This window comes from Homo sapiens, chromosome 14, assembly GCF_000001405.40.
Source record: "Homo sapiens chromosome 14, GRCh38.p14 Primary Assembly".
Taxonomy (NCBI): domain Eukaryota; kingdom Metazoa; phylum Chordata; class Mammalia; order Primates; family Hominidae; genus Homo; species Homo sapiens.
Window position 1 is genome coordinate 51,658,165 of NC_000014.9, and position 22,393 is coordinate 51,680,557.

The 22,393-nt window shown below is 37.6% G+C and overlaps 1 protein-coding gene across 31 annotated transcripts in view; it reads left to right on the top strand.

Moving 5' to 3' along the window:
• The window catches only part of FRMD6 (FERM domain containing 6), a 334,297-nt gene that overhangs the window by 261,734 nt on the left and 50,170 nt on the right, over positions 1-22,393 (top strand). The window lies entirely within an intron of this gene.

Consider the following 22,393-nt stretch of genomic DNA (forward strand, 5'->3'; position numbering starts at 1 on the left):
TTTCTGATTAATGCAAAGGTATTCTATGGCTCTGTTCAGATAGACTCAGATCTGCCCAGAGGAAATGGATCTGTAGCCCAATGAGGCAGAATTTTTCTTCTTTCAGCCTGCTGTACCTCTGCCCTCCATACAGAGCTCTGTTGGGGCTTGCCTTTTCCCTTTTTTCTCTCTCTCTCTCACTTCTAGGGCTTCCTAATGAGACTTTGGGTTGTAAGTATCAAGTAGGAGATCTCTTGAGGTCCCTCTTGATTCACTCTTGTTGATCCATAAATGATCTAGGATGGACCCTAATTTCAAAGGACTGCTTTGTCAATATTTTTGGAATAATTCATCCTTAAGAAAATGTTTCAAAAATTCAGTTTTTGGACTTCTCCTGCCTTTATGCTTCTCCCTCTTTTCTCCCTTTTTGTGTCTTCCTTCCACCCCCATCCAGTTATCGTTTCTTAAAGATCCCTGGAAACATCCAATCTTTGTCTACTGAGAGCAGCAGTGAAATTCTGACGCTAAAATCTGTGGCAGTCTCCAGGAAGTACTTATTGTAAAACATAAGATTATGATTTCACTGAGAGATCTAACAGATAAAACAAAGTGCTTGCAAAGGAAAACTATTCATGTATACATTTTATTTTATGTTTCCCTAAAGAATAAAGGACAGTTTTATTACTTAAGAAAAGACTCAGAGCTTCAGCTTAAGCTCATTAAAAAGGTGAAGAGAAGTTAAAATTAGAGAATTTTATAAATATGTGGTATTTATATATCCTACCCGAATAAGATACTGCTTATCACAGCAAAAATTTAGCATATGTAATGTTAACAAGTAAAAAATATGCTGACCATAGGGCCACAGCTCTGACAAGTTGCTCATGAAATTACTACAGAATAGCGTAATCCGTATTGAAGACAGCATAGAAGAGGGATAGTAAAATATAATGATAGGAATGAGGTCTTCGAGATCAGTTCCCTGGGGCCCAAATCCAGACTCCAGTATTCTCCCATGTGTAACCTTGGGGAAGTTACTTAACTCTCTACACCTCTTTTTCCTCATCAGTAAAGTGGGAGATAGTTATAATAGCTATCCCACAGGATTGTTCTTATTTTTAAGTGAAATGGTACGTGTAAAACAAATGGCATGGTCTTTGATATATAATAAACGTCTTACGTGATGTTAGCTATTGCTGCTTAAGACAAAAAGAAGTGATGTATAAAAGGACTTATAGTTTTATTGGAGGTTCCCAAGCCTTCATTTATAAGCATTTCATGAGATTTAACTTTGTTTTTTGATGGCATTAAGCAGGCAACAAAACCTAGTATTTCTCAGTTACAGATACTGGCAAGTCTGTGTTGCTGCAGTAGGAGCAGCTGGCCTGTTGCACTGATTACTAATTGATCGAGTTATTTTTCTTAATTCTCTTCTAATTTCCAGCCGTCTCAGTCCTTCAGCTTCTGTCTGCTAGATAACTGTTTCTTTCCATATGTCAAAAAAGCCAGCCTGCAGATTTTTAAAATTCTCCTTACGGTGACTGATGTTGTGCAAAGTTCTTTTAAAGAGTACCACTGACTGGCCCATGTCTTTTGCTCATGTTCCCTGTATGGCTTCATGTGAGTACTTCTGAAGAAAGCCACTATTATTGATATAAAGCAGTTCTTTATTCCCAACCCCTAACCATTGGCACAGTTTATATAATGTGGGTCAGAACCATTTGTGATTTTCTGTTATGAGGGCCAGAGTTTGAGATTTTAAACCATTCATTCAAAGAAACTTAAGAAAGACACAGTTAAACACCTTAGAAAGATACATTTTCATCTAACTAGCCTAATTACGAGCTCAGCTAAAAAAGGTACAGGATCCTCTAGAAGAATCGTGCTGTATCATTCTGATCTGTTTGTTAAAGGGCGGGGGACCTAGTCCAGATAACCCAGTTCCCCGTTTTGATTGTGTGTGTAAAATCTTGAGCTTAGTAAACTTAGCACTTTAAAAATGTTCACTAAGTCCATCAAAAGCCAGGTTTTATGTCTTTATGAAGTATTCAGGACTGTGCTGAATACTTTGTGCAATTTCTGTCAATGTGTTTCATGTCTAGTTGGGGGAACAAAATACATGTGTTTGAAAAGATATTAGATGTTTCCAGATGAGTGTGAAGTTGAGCTTTCGTTTTAGGGTCCAAAATCAAGGATGATCACATAGGATGTTCCCAGCCTTCCTGGGGCCACTGGATTTATACTGGTTAGTGAAGTCAGGCTAAGATTTTTCTATCCTTCAAGCCCATAGAAAAGGGGCTTTTCTAGTAGCAACAGAATGTGCAAGATCTGGTAAAAATCTCAAATATTAAAAGACAACTATGAAATTAAAATTATTAAATGTTTAAATTCATGCATTCAATATAATGTATGCCTAGGATATGCCAGGCACTGGTCTAGGTCTGAGAGATGTCAGTGAATAAAATAAAGGAAAAAAAAAAAAAAAAAATTCTGCCTTCGTGGACCTTATATTCTATTAGGAGGCAATCAGCATAAGAAAATAAGTGTTGTAGTATTTTGGAAGGTAATAAGCCTGATGGGAAAAAGAAAAAGTAGAGCAGGCTAAGGGACAGTAGGAGTGCTGGGGGAGGGAGGCAGGGACTTTGCGATTTGGTGGAGTATAGTCAAGGTAGGCCTCACTGAGAAGAGGGCTTGAAGGAGGAAGAGAGCCACACAGAGCTAGCTGGGGGAAAAGTGTTGCAGCAGAGGGACTAGTGAAGGCATCAGGCGGAAGCATGCCTGATGTGTTCCAGGAGCAGGGAGAAGGCCACAGTGGTGGAGCACTGAGAGCAGGGAGAGAAGGAGTAGTAGATAAGGTTAGAGATGTTTGGAGAGCACATGTTTGGCTTGTGTGGACTGTATTCAGGACTTGACTGTGAGTGGAATGGGGAGCCAGGTTTTGTGCAGAGGAGTGAGAGGATTTGATTTGCATTTTAATAGAATCACTGGTTGCTGTAGGAATCTGGAATTTAGGGAAGAGGTCTAAGTTGGAGATACAAATTTGGAAGTTGCCAACAGAATTTGGGTGAGATCACTTGGGGAATATGTGTAGTCAGAGAAACAGGCTTATGGACCAAGCCTTGGGGCATATCAGTATTTACAGTTTGTAGAGAGAAGAAGAAATCACACACATAATCCAAGAAGTGTTTTAAGCCAAAGTAATTATGCACGTTTTTCCAACATAGTGAACCCAATTAAGTGTCTCCATTCCTTGAGTAACAATGTTATCACTAGAAGATATTGTGAACTCTATTGATCTACACAATGGAAGAATGAACTATGAGTTGTTTTTCTAATTGCGTTGATGGTCTTGGGCTAAACCTGGATGCTTCATCTTTTAGAGGTTGTGTTGATAAGGAGGAATCAGTAAAAGAAAATTAAAAAGGAGCAAGCAGAGGATAGGAAGAAAATTAGAAAAATGTCCTTGTAGTCAAAGAAAATATCTCCAGCAGAAGAGTGGATCAGTTAGCTCACATGTTGCTGAGAAGTCAAGCAGGGTGAAGACTGAGAGTTGCTCATTGGATTTAGCAACCTGGGGAGTCATTGGTGATGATGACAAGAGCTGTGTCACTGGAGAAGTGGAGATGAAAACCTTATTGGAGTGGGTTCAAAGAGAATAAAAAATTTATGAAAGATAACTATTACTTGTAATTCAGTTTTGTATATTACAAATATTCAATATTGATGTGGGTACATTTTAATATGCCTGGTAGGATGTGCAGTGGGACTTTGGAAATGGGAATGTTGGAGGCCGTGCATATCTTCAGCAGGCTTTGTCAGGGTTAGGGAGCCTTTGAGCTTTTCCCTAGTTATTATTGGTAGGGGTAGGGCTCTAGTATATAGATTGTAGTTTGTATATTTTGAAATAGAGAAACGGTTCTATGCAGTTTTTTAGTTCTTTGTTAAATGTCTTTGGATGAGAACTATATCTTGAAAATACTCATACTTTGTTTAAAGACTTTTTCATTTCTAGTAAAGATGTGTTCTTTAATTCAATCTATTGATCCTTGTCTTAGATTGTTTTTTGATACTATAATGGAGTACCACACATAAGGTATTCTGTCCATAAAGAATGGAAGTTTACTATTGACATTCTTTACAGAACTAGAAAAAAACTATTTACAAATTCACATGGGACCAAAAAAAAGAGCTTGAATAGCCAAGGCAATCCTAAGCAAAAAGAACAAAGCTGGAGGCAACATGGTACCATCTTCAAATTATTAGAGCAACAGTGACCAAAACAGCATGATACTGGTACAAAAACAGACACATAGAGCAGTGGAACAGAATAGAGAGCCCAGAAATAAGGCCACACACCTGCAGCTGTCTGATTTGTGACAAACCTGACAAAACAAGCAATGGGGAAAGAATTCCCTATGCATTGAATGGTGCTGGGATAATTGGCTAGCCATATACACAAGATTGAAATTGGACTGCCTCCTTATACCATATACAAAAATTAACTCAAAATGGATTAAAAGCTTAAATGTAAAGCCCCAAACTAAAAACCCTGGAAGACAACCTAGGCAATACCGTTCTGGACATAAAAATGGCAAACATTTACTGATGAAGACAGCAAAAGCAATTGCAACAAAGGCAAAAATGGACAAATGGGATCTAATTAAAGTAAACAGCAAAGGAAACTGTCAACAGAGTGAACAGACAACCTACAGAATGGAAGAAAATATTTGCAAAGTATGTACTGACAAAGGTCTAATATGCAGCATCTATAAGGAACTTAAATTTACTAGAAAAAAAATCCATTAAAATGTGGGCAAATGACATGAACAGACACTTGAAAAGAAGACATGGATGCAGCAAACAATCATATGAAAAAAAAGCTTGTCATTGATACTGGAGAAAGCAAATCAAAACCACAGCGAGATACCATCTCACACCAGTCAGAATGGCTATTAAAATGTTAAAAAAATAACAGATGCTGGCAAGGTTGTGGAGGAAAAGGAATGCTTATACACTGTTTGTGGGAGTGTAAATTAGTTCCACCATTGTGGAAGACAGTGTGGTGATTCCTCAAAGACCTAAAAACAGAAATACAGTTAGACTCAGCAATCCCTACTGGGTATATACCCAAAGGAATATAAATCATTCTATTACAAAGACACATGCATGCATATGTTCATTGCTACACTATTCACAATAGCAAAGACATAGAATCAAGCTAAATGCCTATCAGTGGTAGACTGGATAAAGAAAATGTGGTACATATATATCATGGAATACTATGTTGCCATAAAAAAGAATGCGATCATGTCCTTTGAGGTAACATGGATGGAGCTGGAGGCCATTAATCCTCAGCAAACTAATGCAGAAACAGAAATACTGCATGTTCTCACTTATGTGGGAGCTTAATGATGAGGACACATGGACACATAGAGGGGACATACACTGGGGCTTACCAGAGGATGGAGGTTGGGAGGAGGGAGAGGATCAGGAAAAATAATTAATGGCTTAATACCTGGGTGACAAAATAATCTGTACAGCAAACCCCCATGACACAAGTTTATCTATATAACAAACCTGTACTCATACCCTTGAATTTAAAATAAAAGTTAAATTTTAAAAAAAGGAAGTTCATTTAGCTTATGGTTTGGGGGCCCTGAAGTCCAAGAGCACGGCACCAGCATCTGGCCCAGGTCATCCCATGGTGGAATGCGGAAGCAAGGGCAAGACAGAAAGCACAAGGGGCTGGACTAGTTTTTATAACAACCTGCTCTTGTGATAACTACGTTAATCCACTCATAAGGACTTGACCCTTATGACTCAGTCACCTCTTGTTAGGCCCCATCTCCCAATGCTATTGCATCGGGGATTAAGTTTCCAACACATGAACTTTTGGGGGACACATTCAAACCATAGCAGTCCTTTTTCATGAAAGGTGAGACATGTGCTTTGAGGTGGCTTCTTTTTCAGCAATGGTGATAGGTTTGATCTGACTAGGCCACACAGCATAGTGCCCCACTGGCCTGGAAGCCATCATTCACAGAGTAGATGGCTCAGGTTAGTGAATCCCAAGAGCCAGAGCAAATTGAGTAATAGAAAAATTGCCTCGTTAAAATTTTAAATACCTTGTTGATGACTTTCATCATGAAGTGTTATTTCAAAGCATGTGATTAAGCAATTTTCATAGTTCTGTATTTTATAATTATACACCAAGAATTTTCTCTTCTGGGAACTACCTTTGAATTTTGCTAACTGTCTGTAATACTGTCATCAAAATGAATCAACAGGTGTCTGATACTAATTATCTTCTCTTTCTCTAAGCTTATTAAAATGCTAACACATAGGCCTTTAATGCATACGTATTGTTTTTGGATAGTTAGAAGCTCAGAGTGGTTGGTAGAATGAAAACTTTGTTACATATATTTTAGTGTTTGGTAATACCAAAGTATAGTATTAGTCTTTAGAAAGTTGCTAATTTAGAAAATGCCGGAAAGGGCGAAGACTTTCCTTTGCAGTGGATTAGGGCACAAGGTTTTTGAGAAGTGGAGCTCTGGTGATTATATGTGTGTTTCCAGTGGGTTGTGGTATATGCATATAATGTCAGCATTCTCTTAGGTACTGCTTTGCCAGCACTGTTTTATTCGCATCATTTTGAATGTTTTTTTCAGCTGAAACTTGTAAGTTACTCTACAGTTAGTTAAGTTACAGTACAGTTAGTTAGAATGTAATTGGCTTGGAACAAATACACGAGGCCAATGTGGAATAATTTCGCAGTGCTGGGGATTTTACATTGTAGATACTGGAGTATGCAGAGGTATAAAACTGAGCAAGTTTTGAAATAAATCTTATGTCACTTGTCAGTGACTACAGAATAAAGTCCAGATCTCTTAGGGTGGAATTCATCATGCCAGCCCAGAGTTGCAAGCCTGTGGCCCACCAACAAGTTTGGCTGCAGACATGTTTTGGCTTTTAACATAGTTATTTGCCAACATTTAAAAATAGAGAAATTTTACATTAAAAAAATTGCATTTTATACCTTCTCTTGAAAAATTTGAAGGCCTGGCAAGGTCTGTTGTAGCAACATAACAGCTTCCCCCTTTATACGGGGTGTGTGCTCTGTAGTCTCCCACAGTCCCTGGCAGAGACTCTCTTGTCCTCAACATTGGGACCAAGCTGTTGTAGGCATTTTTCATCCTGCAGGCTTCACTTCTTTGCTCCTGCCCTTGTAGGCATGTGAGTTTGCTAACCTTGTGTTTAGATACTTATTTTTTTTTCTCAGAGTTCCTTAAATCTAGCCAAATTGTTCTTCCCATTGTCCTGTCTAATGCGTACACACTTCGTCTACCTCATGTTTCTGCTTCTGGCTTCTCCTTCCGCTGCGTCCGAGCTGCATGTTGCTCATGTCACATCATTGGAACTTAGCACATTTCTAGCTCCCCAGCTGTACTAGTTTCTTGAAGACAAAGACTATTTAATTTACTAACACCTATCAAATTTATTTTAGATCTTCTGGGTTAACTATTTGCTAATGGTTTGGCTGCGTCCCCACCCAAATCTCATCTTGAATTTAACTCCAAGAATTCCCATGTGTTGTGGAAGGAACTTAGTGGGAGGTAATTGAATCATGGCGGTGTGTCTTTCCCGTGCTGTTCTCGTGATAATGATTAAGTCTCACAAGATCTAGTGGTTTTAAAAATGGGAGTTTCCCTGCACAAGCCCTCTTCTCGTCTGCCGCCATATGAGTTGTGCCTTTCACCTTCTGCCATGATTGTGAGGCCTCCCCAGCCACGTGGAACTGTAAGTCCAATAAACCTCTTCCTTTTGTAAATTGCTGAGTCTCAGGTATGTCTTTATCAGCAGCATGAAAATGGACTAATACTCTATTGTTAGATTTAGCTTCCAGTGGGTGGTAATCTATGATTATAGTGACACCTGTAGAAGAAGTAGAACGTAATCAAAATCTTATGTGAAATCTACTTCCTCAAATAGTGCTTTCTTAATTTACTATGCCATTTCCTTTGTAGCTTTGTTAGTAACATTTATATAATCCATTTGAGTATGAATTCACTAAACACCTCATTTATTGCCATTTCCCTAGTTCTGTCACATAGATGGATGATGCTTCCAGATGAATGCGTCATTACTATGTGCCGTTTTATTATTTTAGATATGCTTCTTCCTAATGACTAATATTGTTTTAAATGTCTTATCTTTTTATTCATTTGGTAAATAGTATGTCTGTGATATTACTGTGATACCTTCCCTTTTGAAGCTTTTACTTTTTAGCAGGAAATTCAGATTTAAATAATGGAGTACATAATGATTTAATTTCAAAAAGTGTTATTAAGAAGTAGAGGTGCTGTGAGACTTCGGGGCAGTCTGATCTGGTCTAGGAGTGGGGACTGAAGTGGGAATTGCAACAGGACTGAATTCTGAATTCCTTAACTTTCTCATATATATTCCATGGCAGTTTGTAAAGTAATTGGAATGTAAAAATTTAACCTTACAAACAAAAAGATAATTTTGTAACAAAATAATAGTTAAAAAGTTTTTTCCCTGAGAACTTAACTTGGCTGTTGTCATTGCGTTAGTGATAAACAAAATTATGATTTATAGCTCTAGAATTTATTGTTTGGTACCTGAGTTGAACTCTGTTTAAATAAGTAAACAAAGGACAAATGGGGAATTAGGCTAGAAATTTCAGATATTAGCCTGGCACAGTGGCTCACACCTGTATTCCCAACACCTCAGGAGGCTGAGGCAAGCGCTTTGCTGGAGCCCCGAAGTTTGAGACCAGCTTGGGCAACATGATGAAACTCTGTCTCTACAAAAAATACAAAAGTTAATTGGGTGTGGTGATGCGTGCCTGTGGTCCCAGCACTCTGGAGATTGAGGCGGGAGGATTGCTTGAGCCTGGAAGGTCAAGGCTGCAGTGAGCTGTGATCATGCCATTGTACTCCAGCCTGTCCAGCCTGGGTGACAGAGCAAGATCCTGTCTCAAAGAAAAAAAAAATCAGATGTGAATAGCTTACAAAAACAACTTTTATTTTATGAAACTATAATTATTTCAAAGGTATTTGTAATGAGGAATTTTCTCATGGCTTTCAGAAATAGGATATAAAAAATAAACTTAGTAATCCCCCAACAGTTACTAGTGGATAGCACCTTTATTTAATACTTGCAAGCCCATAACTGAAAAATTAATACTTTATTGGTCGGAAGAATGAAGTAATATGGTATCCTGAAAAAAACTCGGCAGTGAATTTACTGACATGTGTGACCCAAAATATAGAGTGGAATTTTGTGTGGTTGCGTATGTTTTATCGCAACAATCAGAAATGTTTTATGTATTTTCTTCCAAAGAAAATAGAATTCTATACTTAACCCATCTAAATATAGTGGTAAAGTTAATTTTTTGCATAGTTTAGTGACATACTGAAACAAAGGTCAGCTGCAGTGGTGCCATTTCTGAAATCTCTTTTGAGGAACTCACGTTACTTACAATTATAGAAGGAGATTCAGAAACATTGACATGTTTAAGGGTTTTACTTCAAAGAAACCCAAGATTTTCAAGTGTAATATTAAGGATATTTAAGGAAATTAAAATCAGGAACAGTTTTTAATAAATGTTATCTCATCTAGAATTTAAAATAAATTCTAATTAAATCTTAAAAGTAAAATCTTTTAAAACTCAAATACTGATTTTCTGAACCCTCATTCATTTTAAATCTGTGAAAGGATGTTGAGAGCTAATGGTTTGTAATTGACTAAATTATTTGCTTCTACAGGTGCCTAGAGAAATGTAAAGAGAAATTTTCATGAAATATAAGTTGTAGAGTAAAACCTAGCAGGGAAAGCTAATTGAAGTTATCTAATTTATAAAACAACATTTGCTTTAATTACTGCCTTACATATTCTTGAACTAGGCTCATGTTGCTGATGAGTAAATTTTCAGGAAATTTTTAATCAGTATATTATAGATACAGGGTCTAAATTAATTCACATTATCAGTCATTTGTTCAGAGCAGCTGTTACCCTGAAAAATACTCTATTAATTTATAGAACTGGTTAGGAAAGGGATATGAAAGTAAAGGTGTTTTGAAATGATTACATATTATACATTTAAGGGTAAGATACTAAGGACGGTTGCTTGATTTACTCTTTAGAACTTATTTATTTATTGAGACAGAATCTACTCCTTTACCCAGGCTGGAGTGCAGTTGCATAATTTCGGCTCACTGCAACCTCCGCCTCCTGGGTTCAAGTGATTCTCCTGCCTCAGCTTCTGAGTAGCTGGGATTACAGGCATGCACTACCATGCTCGGCTAATTTTTGTATTTTTAGTAGAGACAGAGTTTTGTCATGATGGCCGGGCTGGTCTTGAACCCCTGGCCTCAAGTGATCTGCCCACCTTAGCCTCCCAAAGTGCTGGGATTACAGGCATGAGCCACCGTGCCCAGCCCAGAACTTTGTAATCTTAAAATTAGAATGCAGGAGGCTGTGAAGCTCGAATGAAATAATGCTGGTGTTTTTGTTGTTTTGAGACTGAGTCTCCCTCTGTCACCCAGGCTAGAGTGCAGTGCCATAGTCTTGGCTCTCTGCAACCTCTTGTCTCCCGGGCTCAAGTGATTCTCTTGCCTCAGCCTCCTGAGTAGCTGGGACTACAGGCATGCACCACCACACCCGGCTAATTTTTGTATTTTTTAGCAGAGACGGGGTTTCACCGTGTTGGCCAGGCTGGTCTCGAACTCCTGACCTCAAGTGATCCACCCACTTCAGCCTCCCAAAGTGCTGGGATTACAGGCATAAGCCACCATGCCTGCCCAAAATCAGCTTTTTAAATGATGAATCATATGCAATAATAAAATAAACAAATTTTAAGTAGATAATTTGATGAGTTTTGACAAATGTATATATCATCATGTAACCAGCACTGCGGTCAAGATACAGAACATTTTTGTCAAGCCAAAAAGTTTCCTACAGCTCCTTTTTAGTCAGTCTCCTCCCCTGCCACTCTAGATGCTTTTGTATCTGGCCATGTTTCACTTTAGCATGATGTATTCATCCATTTTCTTGCACATATCAGTAGTTCCTCTTTGTTGTTGGGTGGTATTCAGTTGTCACAATTTGTTTATTCATTTACCTGTTAGTGGATATTTGGATTGTTTCTAATTTGGAGCTATTATGAATGAAGTTACTATAAGCATTTATGTATTATATAAGTCTTGGGGGACATAGCTTTTCATTTCTGAGTTGTATAGTAAGTGAATGTTTATTAAAAACTGTCAAATTCATTTTCAAAGTGGCTGTATTATTTAACATTCCCACCAGCCATGTCTGAGAGTTCTAGTTGCTCCAGATTCTCACTAAGATTTGGTATTGTCAGTGTTTTTAACTTTAACCATTCTGGCAGGTGTGTAGTGGTACCTGACTTCGATTTTTATTTGCATTTTCCTAATGACTAATAATGTTGAGTATCATTTCAAGTGCTTATTTGCTATTTGTATATCTTTGGTGAAGTGACTTTTTTGGCCATATTTTTAAGAGTTGCATTGTTCTTGAGTTGTAATATTTATATATTTTTGGATTTAAGTCTTTAATCAGATATGGTTTCTATTTTTCCAAATATGTTTTGAAAATGTATTTTCTGTTATGATGATTTCTTTGTCATTTTTTAAGTGACTTTCAGAGGGCAAAATTAAAAAGCAAAATTTTTGTGGTTCATGTTTTTAATGCCCTAAGAAAACCAGGGCAACAAAGATCTTCCCCTGTAAGTTTTCTATGACTTTTAGAGTTTTAGCTTTTCAATTTGGGCCTGTAGTTCATTTCAAAGTAATTTCTGTATAAGGGCTGAAGTAGATTAGAATCCGATTCTGGATTTTTACCGAAAAAAAAAAGTCCCTGGGATTTTTAAAAACTTTATTTTGAGGTAATTTAATTTTAATTTTTTTAGAGACAAGTCTCACTCTGTTGCCAAGACTAGAGTGCAGTGCATGATCATGGCTCACTGCAGCCTTGACCTCCTGGGCTCAAGCAGTCCTCTGCCTCAGCCTCCCAAGTAGCTGGGACCACAGGCATGCACCACCACACATAGCTAATTTTTTATTTTTAATTGTTTTTGTGGAGATGGGGGTCTCACTATGTTGCCCAGGCTGGCCTCAAGTGCTCCTCCCACCTTAGTCTCCCAGAGTGCTGAGATTAAAGGCATGAGCCACCGCACCTGGCCTGAAATAATTTTAGACTCACAAGAAGTTGCAAAAATAGTGTACAGAGTCTCCCAATGATAATCAACTGTAGTCTGTTTTCAAAACCAGGAAATTGACATTGGTACAGTACTATTAACTAGCCTTGGATTTCTTCAGTTTTTATGTGTACTCATGTTTAACACTAATTGAACTTTGGTTGTAGTTGCATTGAATATATAGATTAGTTATGGGAGAATCAATATCTTAACAATATTGAGTCTTCCTATTAATGTACATTTTTATATATTTAGTTAGGTCTTTTTTTTTTTTTCTTTGAGATGGAGTCTCACTCTGTCACCTAGGCTGGAGTGCAGTGGCGCAGTCTTGGCTCACTGCAACCTCCACTTCCTGGGTTCAAGCGATTCTCCTGCCTCAGTCTCCTGAGTAGCTGGGATTGCAGGCGCACACCACCACTCCCGGCTAATTTTTTGTATTTTTAGTAGAGATGGGGTTTCGTCATGTTGGCCAGGCTGGTCTCGAATTCCTGACCTCAGGTGATCCACCTGCCTCGGCCTCCCAAAATGGTGGGATTACAGGCGTGGGCCACCGTGCCCGGCGGTTTGTATGTTTTATCATGAACATATGTTAAATTTTATCAGCTGTTTTTCTGCATCTATTGAAATGATCATATAATTTCAGTTTTTCATCTTTTGTGGTGAGTAACATTGATTTTTGAATATCAAACCAATCTTGCGTTCCTGGAATACACCCAACGTGGTCATCATATGTTGTCCTTTTGGTATATATTGCTGAATTCAGTATACCAAATTTTGTTAGGAATCTCGTGTCTATGTTCATGAGGGATATTGGTCATTTAAAACATTTTCTTATAATGTCACCTAGTTTGGGAAATGATGGCCTCATAGAAAGAGTTGGGAAATATTCCCCTTTTTTGGTTTTCTGGAAAAGCTTGTGTAGAATTGATATTAATTTTTTATTTGAACATTGATAGAGTTTACCAGTGATGCCATCTGAGCCTAGAATTTTCTTTGTCATAAAATTTTTAACTAAAAATTCAATTCATTTAATAACTGAGGGGTCTTCAGAAAGTTCACAGAAAATGCATATTATGTATGGATTTCAGAATGGTTTTGCACCGAAATAAACTCATACTAACATGTTATAAGATACCTGAATAGGATCTAGTTTGAGGCACTAAAAAGGGTAAGACAGCAGGACAGCAGTTTGAAAAGAACCCCTCTCAAAGCAGCATGAATTCTGCTGAAATTGAGGCAAGAGTAAACATCAAATTTATGGTGAAGCTTGGGTGGAAGAATGGTGAAATCACTGGTGCTTTAGAAAAAGTTTATGGGGACAGTGCCCTAAAGAAATCAGCAGTTGGTGGATAACTTACTCGTTTTAAGAAGAGACTAGCAAATGTTAAAGATGAAGCCTGCAGGGGCAGACCATTCACATCAATTTGTGAGGAAAAAAATTCATCTTGTTCATGCCCTAATTTAAGAAGACCAACAATTAACAGCAGAAACAATGGCCAACACTGTGGAATCTCAGTTAATTCAGCTTACACAATCAGAACTGAAAAATTTAATTCGAGCAAACTTTCCACTAGATGGGTGGCAAAACCATTGTGCCCAAATCAGCTACAGACAAGAGCAGAACATTCATTGGAAATTTTAAAGAAATGGGATTAAGATCCTGAAGCATTTCTTCAAAGAATTGTAACAAGAGATGAAACATGGCTTTACCAGTATGATCCTGAAGACAAAGCACTTTCAAAGCAGTGGCTACCAAGAGGTGGAAGTGATCCAGTCAAAGCAAAGGTCAGGGCAACAGTTTTTTGGGATATTCAAGGCATTTTGCTTGCTGACTGTCTGGAGAGCCAAAGAATTGTAGCATCTGCTTATTATGAGAGTCTTTTGAGAAAGTTAGTCAAATCTTTAGCAGAAAAATGCCCGTGAAAGCTTCTCTGGAGAGTTTTTCTCCACCACAACAATGCTCCTGCTCAATACCTCTCTTCACACAAGGACAATTTTGGGAGAGTTTTGATGGGAAATCATTAGGCATTCACCCTACAGTCCTGATTTGGCTCCTTCTGGTTTCTTTTTGTTTCCTAATCTTAAAAATCTTCAAAGGGCACCCATTTTTCTTCAATTAAAAATGTAAAAAGACTGCATTGACATGGTTAAATTCCCAGGACCCTCAGTTCTTTAGGATGCACTAGGTGGCTGGTATTATTATAAAAATATCTTGACCTTTTGGAGCTTATGGTGAGAAATAAAGCTTATATTCTTTATTTTTATCTTTTAATTCCATTTTTTCCATGAACTTTTTGAAGTCCCTTCATATAGGGCTATTCAGGTTATCTATTTCGTCTTGAATGAGCTTTGGAAGTTTGTCTTTTAACAGATTTGTCCATCTTATCTATGTTTTCGAATTTATTAATGTAAAATTATTCATAATAGTCTTATTATTGGGTGCTGGATTTTGACAGCTTGGGCTTCATTCTAGAAGGATGAATGAACCCATTCATTGGGTTCGATTTTTCATGGAGGATAAGTGTAGATAAGTTACTTGGGCATTAAAGAGTTTGGACCTTATTCTAGCATGTAAGTAAGTTACTTGGGCTTTAAGAAGTCTGGACTTTATTCACCATGTAGGTAAGTTACTTGGGCCCAGTTTGATCCTTTTGAGGCTTGCTTTTAACCTTCTATAGAGTTGGTTCAGGGCAGCCTTCAGACTGAAGCTTTACTTGGCCTACTGAGGTGATATCCTTCACACTAACCTATCTGATGCCATAAATATTATAGGGTTTCTCCTCTGGCTAGTGGGAATGAGAACTATGCCCAGCTCTATGTGAGCTGTAGGAATTGTTTGACCTATTGCTTGTCGAAGATTCTTTCCTCTGCCTTGTGGAGTTTTTTTTTTTCCACGTTAGCACAGATCAGTAGTTAGCCAATGTACCAGGAGAACCTCTCTGAAGATCTTTGTACCTCTATCTGGGTTCCCCTACTTCCTCTTTGGGATTCTGTGCTGCCCCCCAAATTCTAGCTGCCTCTGCCTCCCAAACTTTTCTCTTTATCTTCTCAATTCAGGGAATCTTCTCAGTTCTTTTTGGATTCCTTTCCTCACTGTGGACCAAAACTGCCTCCAGTCATTAAGTTTGGGGAATCATTAGGCTCACCTAGTTTGTTTTCCTTCAGTGTCTAAAAACCATTTGATGTGTTTTATCCACTTTTCTAGTTGTTTATGGCAGAGGACAATTCCTGCAGCAATTAATATTTGATGGCCAAGAACTGAAAGTTCCTGGATGTAACAGGTTATTTTTCAGAACTCCCCAAAACTGGAAGAAACGCATTGAAAAATGTGGAGGGGAAAAAAAGTACAGAGGCATCTTTTGCATAATTATGTGTGGAATATGATGCTTTTTATACTCATTCTGAGAAATGGTCCTTGAAAGTAATCACTTGCCAGTGGAAGTTTGTAGATTGTCCAGAGTTTGTGGTGCATGTGACAAGTTAAGAGTCTGAAAGGAAGTATTTCTTTTTTATTATCAGAATCTTTGCTTTTAATTGCTTTATTCACTAAAGTGGATAACTTAGACCTCAGCTACAGTTTTCAGTTATTATACATGGAAGCTTAGGAAACATCACGACTTTTACTCTTGGAGAAAATAATTTCCAAATCCTAGACAGATGACTTTCAATTGGAAGATGCTTTTGAAAGAAAGACTCATTAGAGGGAGTTTCAGGATTTTGTCTCCTGGTTATTGAAACTTGTACTGAAGGTAAAAATCCAATGGATTTACAACTTTGCAAATCTTATATCTGAAAAAAAGAATCCAACTTTTCCTAGAAAGCCCACTATGAGGAGCAACACCATGTTTTCTTCATTCATTCTTCCAAACGTGAAAGTCATGAAGGAATATAGGCACTCCTCTCGATGAGTGCTTTTTAAATATTTGAATGATTTTGCCTGTGAATCAGAGATAAGGTGATTCCAAGGCAATTAATTGTAGGCAATATATAGTCTTTTTCTAGGGTAGGATTGAGCGAGTAAGTGAGCCATTTGTGTTGAGCAGTGGTCCTGCCATGCCTGCTGACTTGGAATAGTCTGCTCCTTGGGTTTCTCCAGGATAAATGTTTATGTGTCAGTCTCAGTACTTCTGCCTTTCCAGTATGATTAGAGCCATATGAAAAAGCAGTGCTGAGCAGAGGTAGGGTGGTTTCTGGTTTTTGTTTGTTTGATTGATTTGGGGTTTTCTTTTTTAACTTCAACCTTCAAGGTTGAGGTATGGTTCCATTTTTCATGGAAGATTAACCCTATTTGTGTAGGGTAAGGTGTAATTCTGGTTTCCTTCCCCCACACCCTTTAAAAAGCATACTTTAAGCCTCTCTCAACGCATCAGAGGATGATTACTGTGAGAAGGAATGTTCTCTTTTGGTAATATGGAGGGGGACGCACGAACCGAACAACCAGATGATCCAGTAAATAGGTAGGTCAAATGGAGGTGACTGGACTGGGCTCTTCAGTTACTCATTCCTGGATTTTGTTGACTTCACACACCAGAGAGACCAGAGAGGTTCACTGTTAAGTGGCTTTATTTCTGTTTCTTTTAGAATAGATGGATAATAATTGAATTGACCTTGGTTTGTATATTATTTCAAAACTCTAGTTGAGAAGAGTTACAGAAATAATGCCTGTGAATTGGCATATGGGAAATAGAATGTTGCTAGATAGGTAAGTACCACTGAAAATGAGATTCCACACTTGGTGTAACTGGCAGATTCATGGTAGTTATCTTCTAGAAGTAAGCTAAGAGAATGAAACACTGGGTGACAGTAGCAGAGGCCGGCTTCTGATTGAAGATTCCCCTGGGAGAAGCATGAAGGATACAGCCATCCCTAGCTCCCAGTTATGTTCCTGACAGCTACCTTAGCAGTCTTGGATCCATGTTTCTATGGAATAACAGAAGGCACCTTGGTCTCCTTAGAGCACGTTGGCTAAAGATTTGATGACTCCACAGGGGAACTGTAGATCTCTGATTAATGGAAGGCTTTGTTAGGATAGAAGTGTCTTTTAATGTGTTGGAGACAGAATCTGTACATGAAAATGACAATGGTAAATATGTTGTGAAACTATAATAAAGCCATATATAAAAGAAACATTTTTATCATTTCTCTTAAGGGCTTTTAAAACTGTATAATGTTTTGTCTTTTTAAGTTTATTTAGCAACTTGTCTCCAGCTTGTGTAATCACTGCAAAATCCCCCAAGGGGGTGTTAAACAAGGACTTTTGTAGCAGTAGAAAGTCTTGTTCGATTTTCCAGATGAATTTTTTAATTTGAAGTCTGTAGGTTGTGCTTTTGATCTTCTTTACTTTAAAGAGTACCTGGCCTTGGAGCCTCACTTTGCATCATTCTGCACATGTACAATGTGTGTGTGTGTCTCTGTGGGTGTCCCCACAGCAAATGCTGCTGCTTTGAGTGTGTCTAGGTAACAACATAATCTTATCCCCATAATTTATGTAGGGTAAAAATTAAATCTAGAATCTCCAAAGCCCTTTTCTGGTTTCATAAAATTTTTCACATATAATGAAAGGTATCAAGGTAAAAGGCAGGTTTTATTAGCATTTGGGTATGTTTAATTTAGTAAATTATTTTAGCACGTTTCTTAACTTTCCGTTTAAAAATATAAAATATGAACTTTCTGAAAAGATACTAGATTAAGCTAAATTGTTTTTTACCCATGGGAGTTTTGGAATATAATTTAGGAAGAAAAATCCCATTAAGGAAAAGCACACCACGGTCCTACAGCTGACTGTCATCTTGGCCAGCACATTCTCTCAAAGTGCCAGTTTCTTAACCTGTAAACTTAAAAGGTTGGATGAAGTCATCTCTAAAATCTGATACAGTGATAAATTTTTCATTTGATTGCACTTTGTTACATTTGTTTCCAGTTAGGAATAGATAGAAACTCAGAAATTATTTTATACCTGTCACTAAATTATAAAAATTACAAGAATTCATTAACAATACTAGGAGCTCTAAGGCTTTTCTTAGTTTCAGATCCCTGGAAACAAACTGTGTAGTAAGTGAAATAACATTTTTTAAGTATGTGGTACATGGTGGTTACATGGTAGTTAAACTCTGCATAGGATCCGTAATGGATTCATCTTTTGTGAAATGTAGCAGGCAGTTATAGCAGCATTTCATACTTGTCCTGCCTTATGTATCTTTTTAAAGTTTAATTATCAGTATGTGATTATTCACAGCATTTTCAACCTCAGTACTTCTGATGTGCTTTACAGAATTGTGAAATATACACATAGAAGAGTGTTTGTAATGTCTGTACATTTTAAACAATAATAGTGATGAAAGAACACCATTGTATTCACTACCAAGTTATGAAAAAAATTTCTGTAGAACCTTTGAAGTTCTCTGCTGCTTTCTGAATATGTCATCCTACCTCCAGCCTCCCCCACATTACAATTTTGAAGTTAATCATACCTTTGCCTTTCTTTAGTTTTATCACACATATATATGTATCCCTAAATGAATCATTCATTAGTTTTGCTTATTTTTGAACTTTCTTTTTTTCTTTTTGAACCTGACATGTGAACATAAGAACCTTCTATTTGTAATCTGTCATATGTATTCTTCTGTTACTTGCTTTTTTCCTTAATGTTGTTTTTTGAGATTCGCACTTGTTAATGTGTAGCTGTAGTTCATGATTTTTCACTGCTTAATTGTTTTAATGTACCATATTTTATTTAGTCTGTTGTCAGTGGGCCTTTGCGTTTCTAGCTTGTACATTTCCTTGTTGTTAGGAGCCATGTAATGACATAGAAAATCCTTTTGCAATGTTACCAGAAAGCTAGCAACTTCTCAAATATTTAGTTCAATCTTTGTTAGGGGCATTATGCTCTCTTTGGGAAGAAGTATTTCAGGGGAAAATAAGTAAAGTTAATGTTAAGATTCATATATTGCTACTAGATAATGAGAATTTCACAGCAAAGTCATTATCTAGAAAACTGCAGTTCCTGTGTCAGAGGGAATTGAGTGCAAGTCCCATGAATGAGGGAATCAAAGATTTCATTGTGGAAATTAGAAGCAGATGCTTCTAAGTTGGAGGATTTTCCCTGAGAACAGCACTTTTTGTTGGCGATGTCATGCTAGAAATTCATCTTGGTTGAAAGGAATTTTTGTGCCTGGTTGCTAAACCTGATATGACTTTTGAATACAGATGGCTGTGAAAGTAGTTTCTGTGGTTTAAAATTCATGAATTTTACCATTGCCTTTGTTCTTGTTGGTTGCCTATCTAACATCTTCTCTTATCCCCCAGCTTCCCATAGGTACCCAAATTTTGGTTTTAATGTCCGTGTACTTCAGGGGAAGTTAACACACCGCCAGATCTAGATGTGGGCCCTAGGTGGCTTAGGCTAGTTCAACTATTCCCTGCCCCTGTTCAGTGCTGAAGGACTTGTGAACTCTCCAGTCAGGTAGAGATTCAGTATTCTTGTTTCCTTCTACATTCTGGTTGATTTGGCCACTCTGAGAGATGCCAGCCTTAAGATGGAGCTGATTTCAGGGTGCCAGGAGAAACTAGGTTCTGTGTATGACAATGTGAGCCACCACATCAAACCACCTGTGGGGCCACCCATTTCACTTTAGGCTCCAAGTCACTCTATTTATAAATTTCGCTTATTTAACTAGTCCTGTTGTTTACTAATAGTTAACACTTATCTAGTGCTTACCATATGCCTTATAATACCCTATAAAGTATGTACTGTTATAATTTCCATTTTATAGATACGGAAGCTGAGATAGAGAGGTGAAGAGACTTTGTCAAAGGTCATACAGTTAGTATTAATAAATAGCTGGCTAAGAGTCAGACCCAGGCAGTTTGGCTTCAGAGTCCAGATTTGAGTTGGATATTTTTGGTACTTGCAACTTAGTGCGTCCCAAACAGTGTGTCTCCTTATGTGTTTGCTTTCACATAAGTTGGCTTAACCTGACACACATGGAGACTTTTGCAGAAATTATTTTGTGGACAGTGTTGGAGGATCGTATTCTCACATTATGTCCACTAAATTTGGAGACAAGAAGAAATGTACACATTTCCTCTATAACTAATATGCAGAAAATATTCAAGAAGCTCTGACCAACGCTGACTCCCATTGTGGGGGAAAAGTGTGTCGTAAAGGAACATAATTTTTAACTTAATTGCTAGGGATTCATTCACATTTCTGGTAAGTCTAAATAGTGTATTTAACAAGTCCTACTGGATACCTATACAGAGCCAGTACTACCCTGGGCATTAGTGACATAAGGATGCTGACAGCCTACCCTTGAGGAGACTCCAGTCCTCCATGGGGAGCAGGAGAAAAACTGCTGAGTTGCCTAGGAACGTGGAGGCATGCTTCACAGACCAGCATCTTGAGTTTCCAGGGAGAATGAAGATATTTTGTGATTTCATTATGTTCTTTTGGAGTGGGTGGGTGGGTGGGATAATATGCAAGGGATAATATTGTAGGCAGAGGGAACAGCATGGTCAAAAGCATAGAAGTATGAAAGCAAGACTTGTTCAGGGATCCGTGAGGAAAAGAACTGCAGTAATTCAGAACATGAATTGGAAAATACTCACACTGAGGAGGAATGGGACCCGATGGTGAAGGATTACTGTGCTTTAGTGTTAGGTGTTGTCCTGTGGATGTGCTGAACTGTTAAAGAATGTGAGCAATGGTGTGATATGTATGATCAGATATGCAATTTAAGAGGTCACCCTGGCAGCATTGTGGGGGATGGCTTTAAGGAATGAGACAAGACAGAGAACATTTAAAAATTTAGGTGAGAACACAGTGAGGTTGTATAGTAGAGAAGAAAGCTGTTAAAAAGGCTAGACAAAAGGAAGGATTTTTTTTTCTTACTAAGATTATATAAAAATATACACACGTGTATAGATGTATATATTTGCTATATATAATGCATACTATATATGTATGATGCATATTATATATAATATATATTATGCATATATATAATGCATATGTAGCATATAGAGAGAGAGAACAAATAATACAGAGAGAGCAAATAATTTTCCCAACCTTTCAGTCATTGAGGATCACTTTCATTTGTCGTTTCCCCCACCTTCCTTAGGCTTAATGTTTGGAAAGATTGTCTGTCAAAACAAATTAAGTCATTTGTTTTCTTTTTTTTTTTTTTTTTTGCTTTGGCATGTAAAGCTAAGTGTGCTATCAAAATAAGTGCCTGAAAATAATACTAATATTACTTAAGTGAAAGATCTTTTAATTTCCCTTGAGATATTATTGTGGGAAAATATGCCATTTCTATCAGGCTTTTTGAGATATTTGAAGATCCCCATCACTTCTTTTATGGGCTTCATTGTAATAGTTGATTAACAGAATTATGCTTATTACTGTTCAGTTTAGGAAGGATATACCAGACCTGTGCTTTGGAGAAATATGTTTTTAATCTCTAATGTAAGACAAGTGATAATTTCATTTTCCCAAGTACCTATTGTCATTAGCCTTTGCTTTGCCTCTGTAATCAAATAAATAGCGTGAGTATGGTGGTAGCAGAAAATAATGCCAAAGAAGAAGGGGGAAGGGTTGAGTCCAAACAGCACAGGGTGCAAAACCTCGGTTAAAGCTAGAGAAGGCGATTCATTGGTTGAGTTAACAAAGAACAAAACTTTGAAAAACAGTCCGTGGTGTACTATGCTGTGTGCCATCCAAGTGAATCTTGTTGGAAGCCTCTCAGGCTTTCCAACTGAAGAAAAGCCTTATATTTCAGGAGAAGGCTCTGTAACCAGGCTTCTCATCTGTTCAGTCTGAGTTTGCATGGGGCAGCAGCACAGGCCCAGGCCTCTCCACTAGGGCCCTTATCTGTATTACTTCCCACCCTTGCAATTCTTTCTTCTCCCCATACATGCTGTTAACCTCCCTTCATGGAATCTTTCCTGAATGCCATGCTCCTCCCAGTTCTCAGCCTTTTCTCAAATCCCACAGCCTTCATTTTACTGTACAGTTTAGCATTTAATTTAAGATGTAGTTGCATTACTTCCTATTGTTTCTACGCTATTAATTTTGACTCTTGAAAGAGTATAAACTGTCTAAGGGCTAAAATTTAGAAATGGTGTTGAGAGACAAATATGTATGAACTACACTTTAACAAGTGCTAGAGTTCTCAA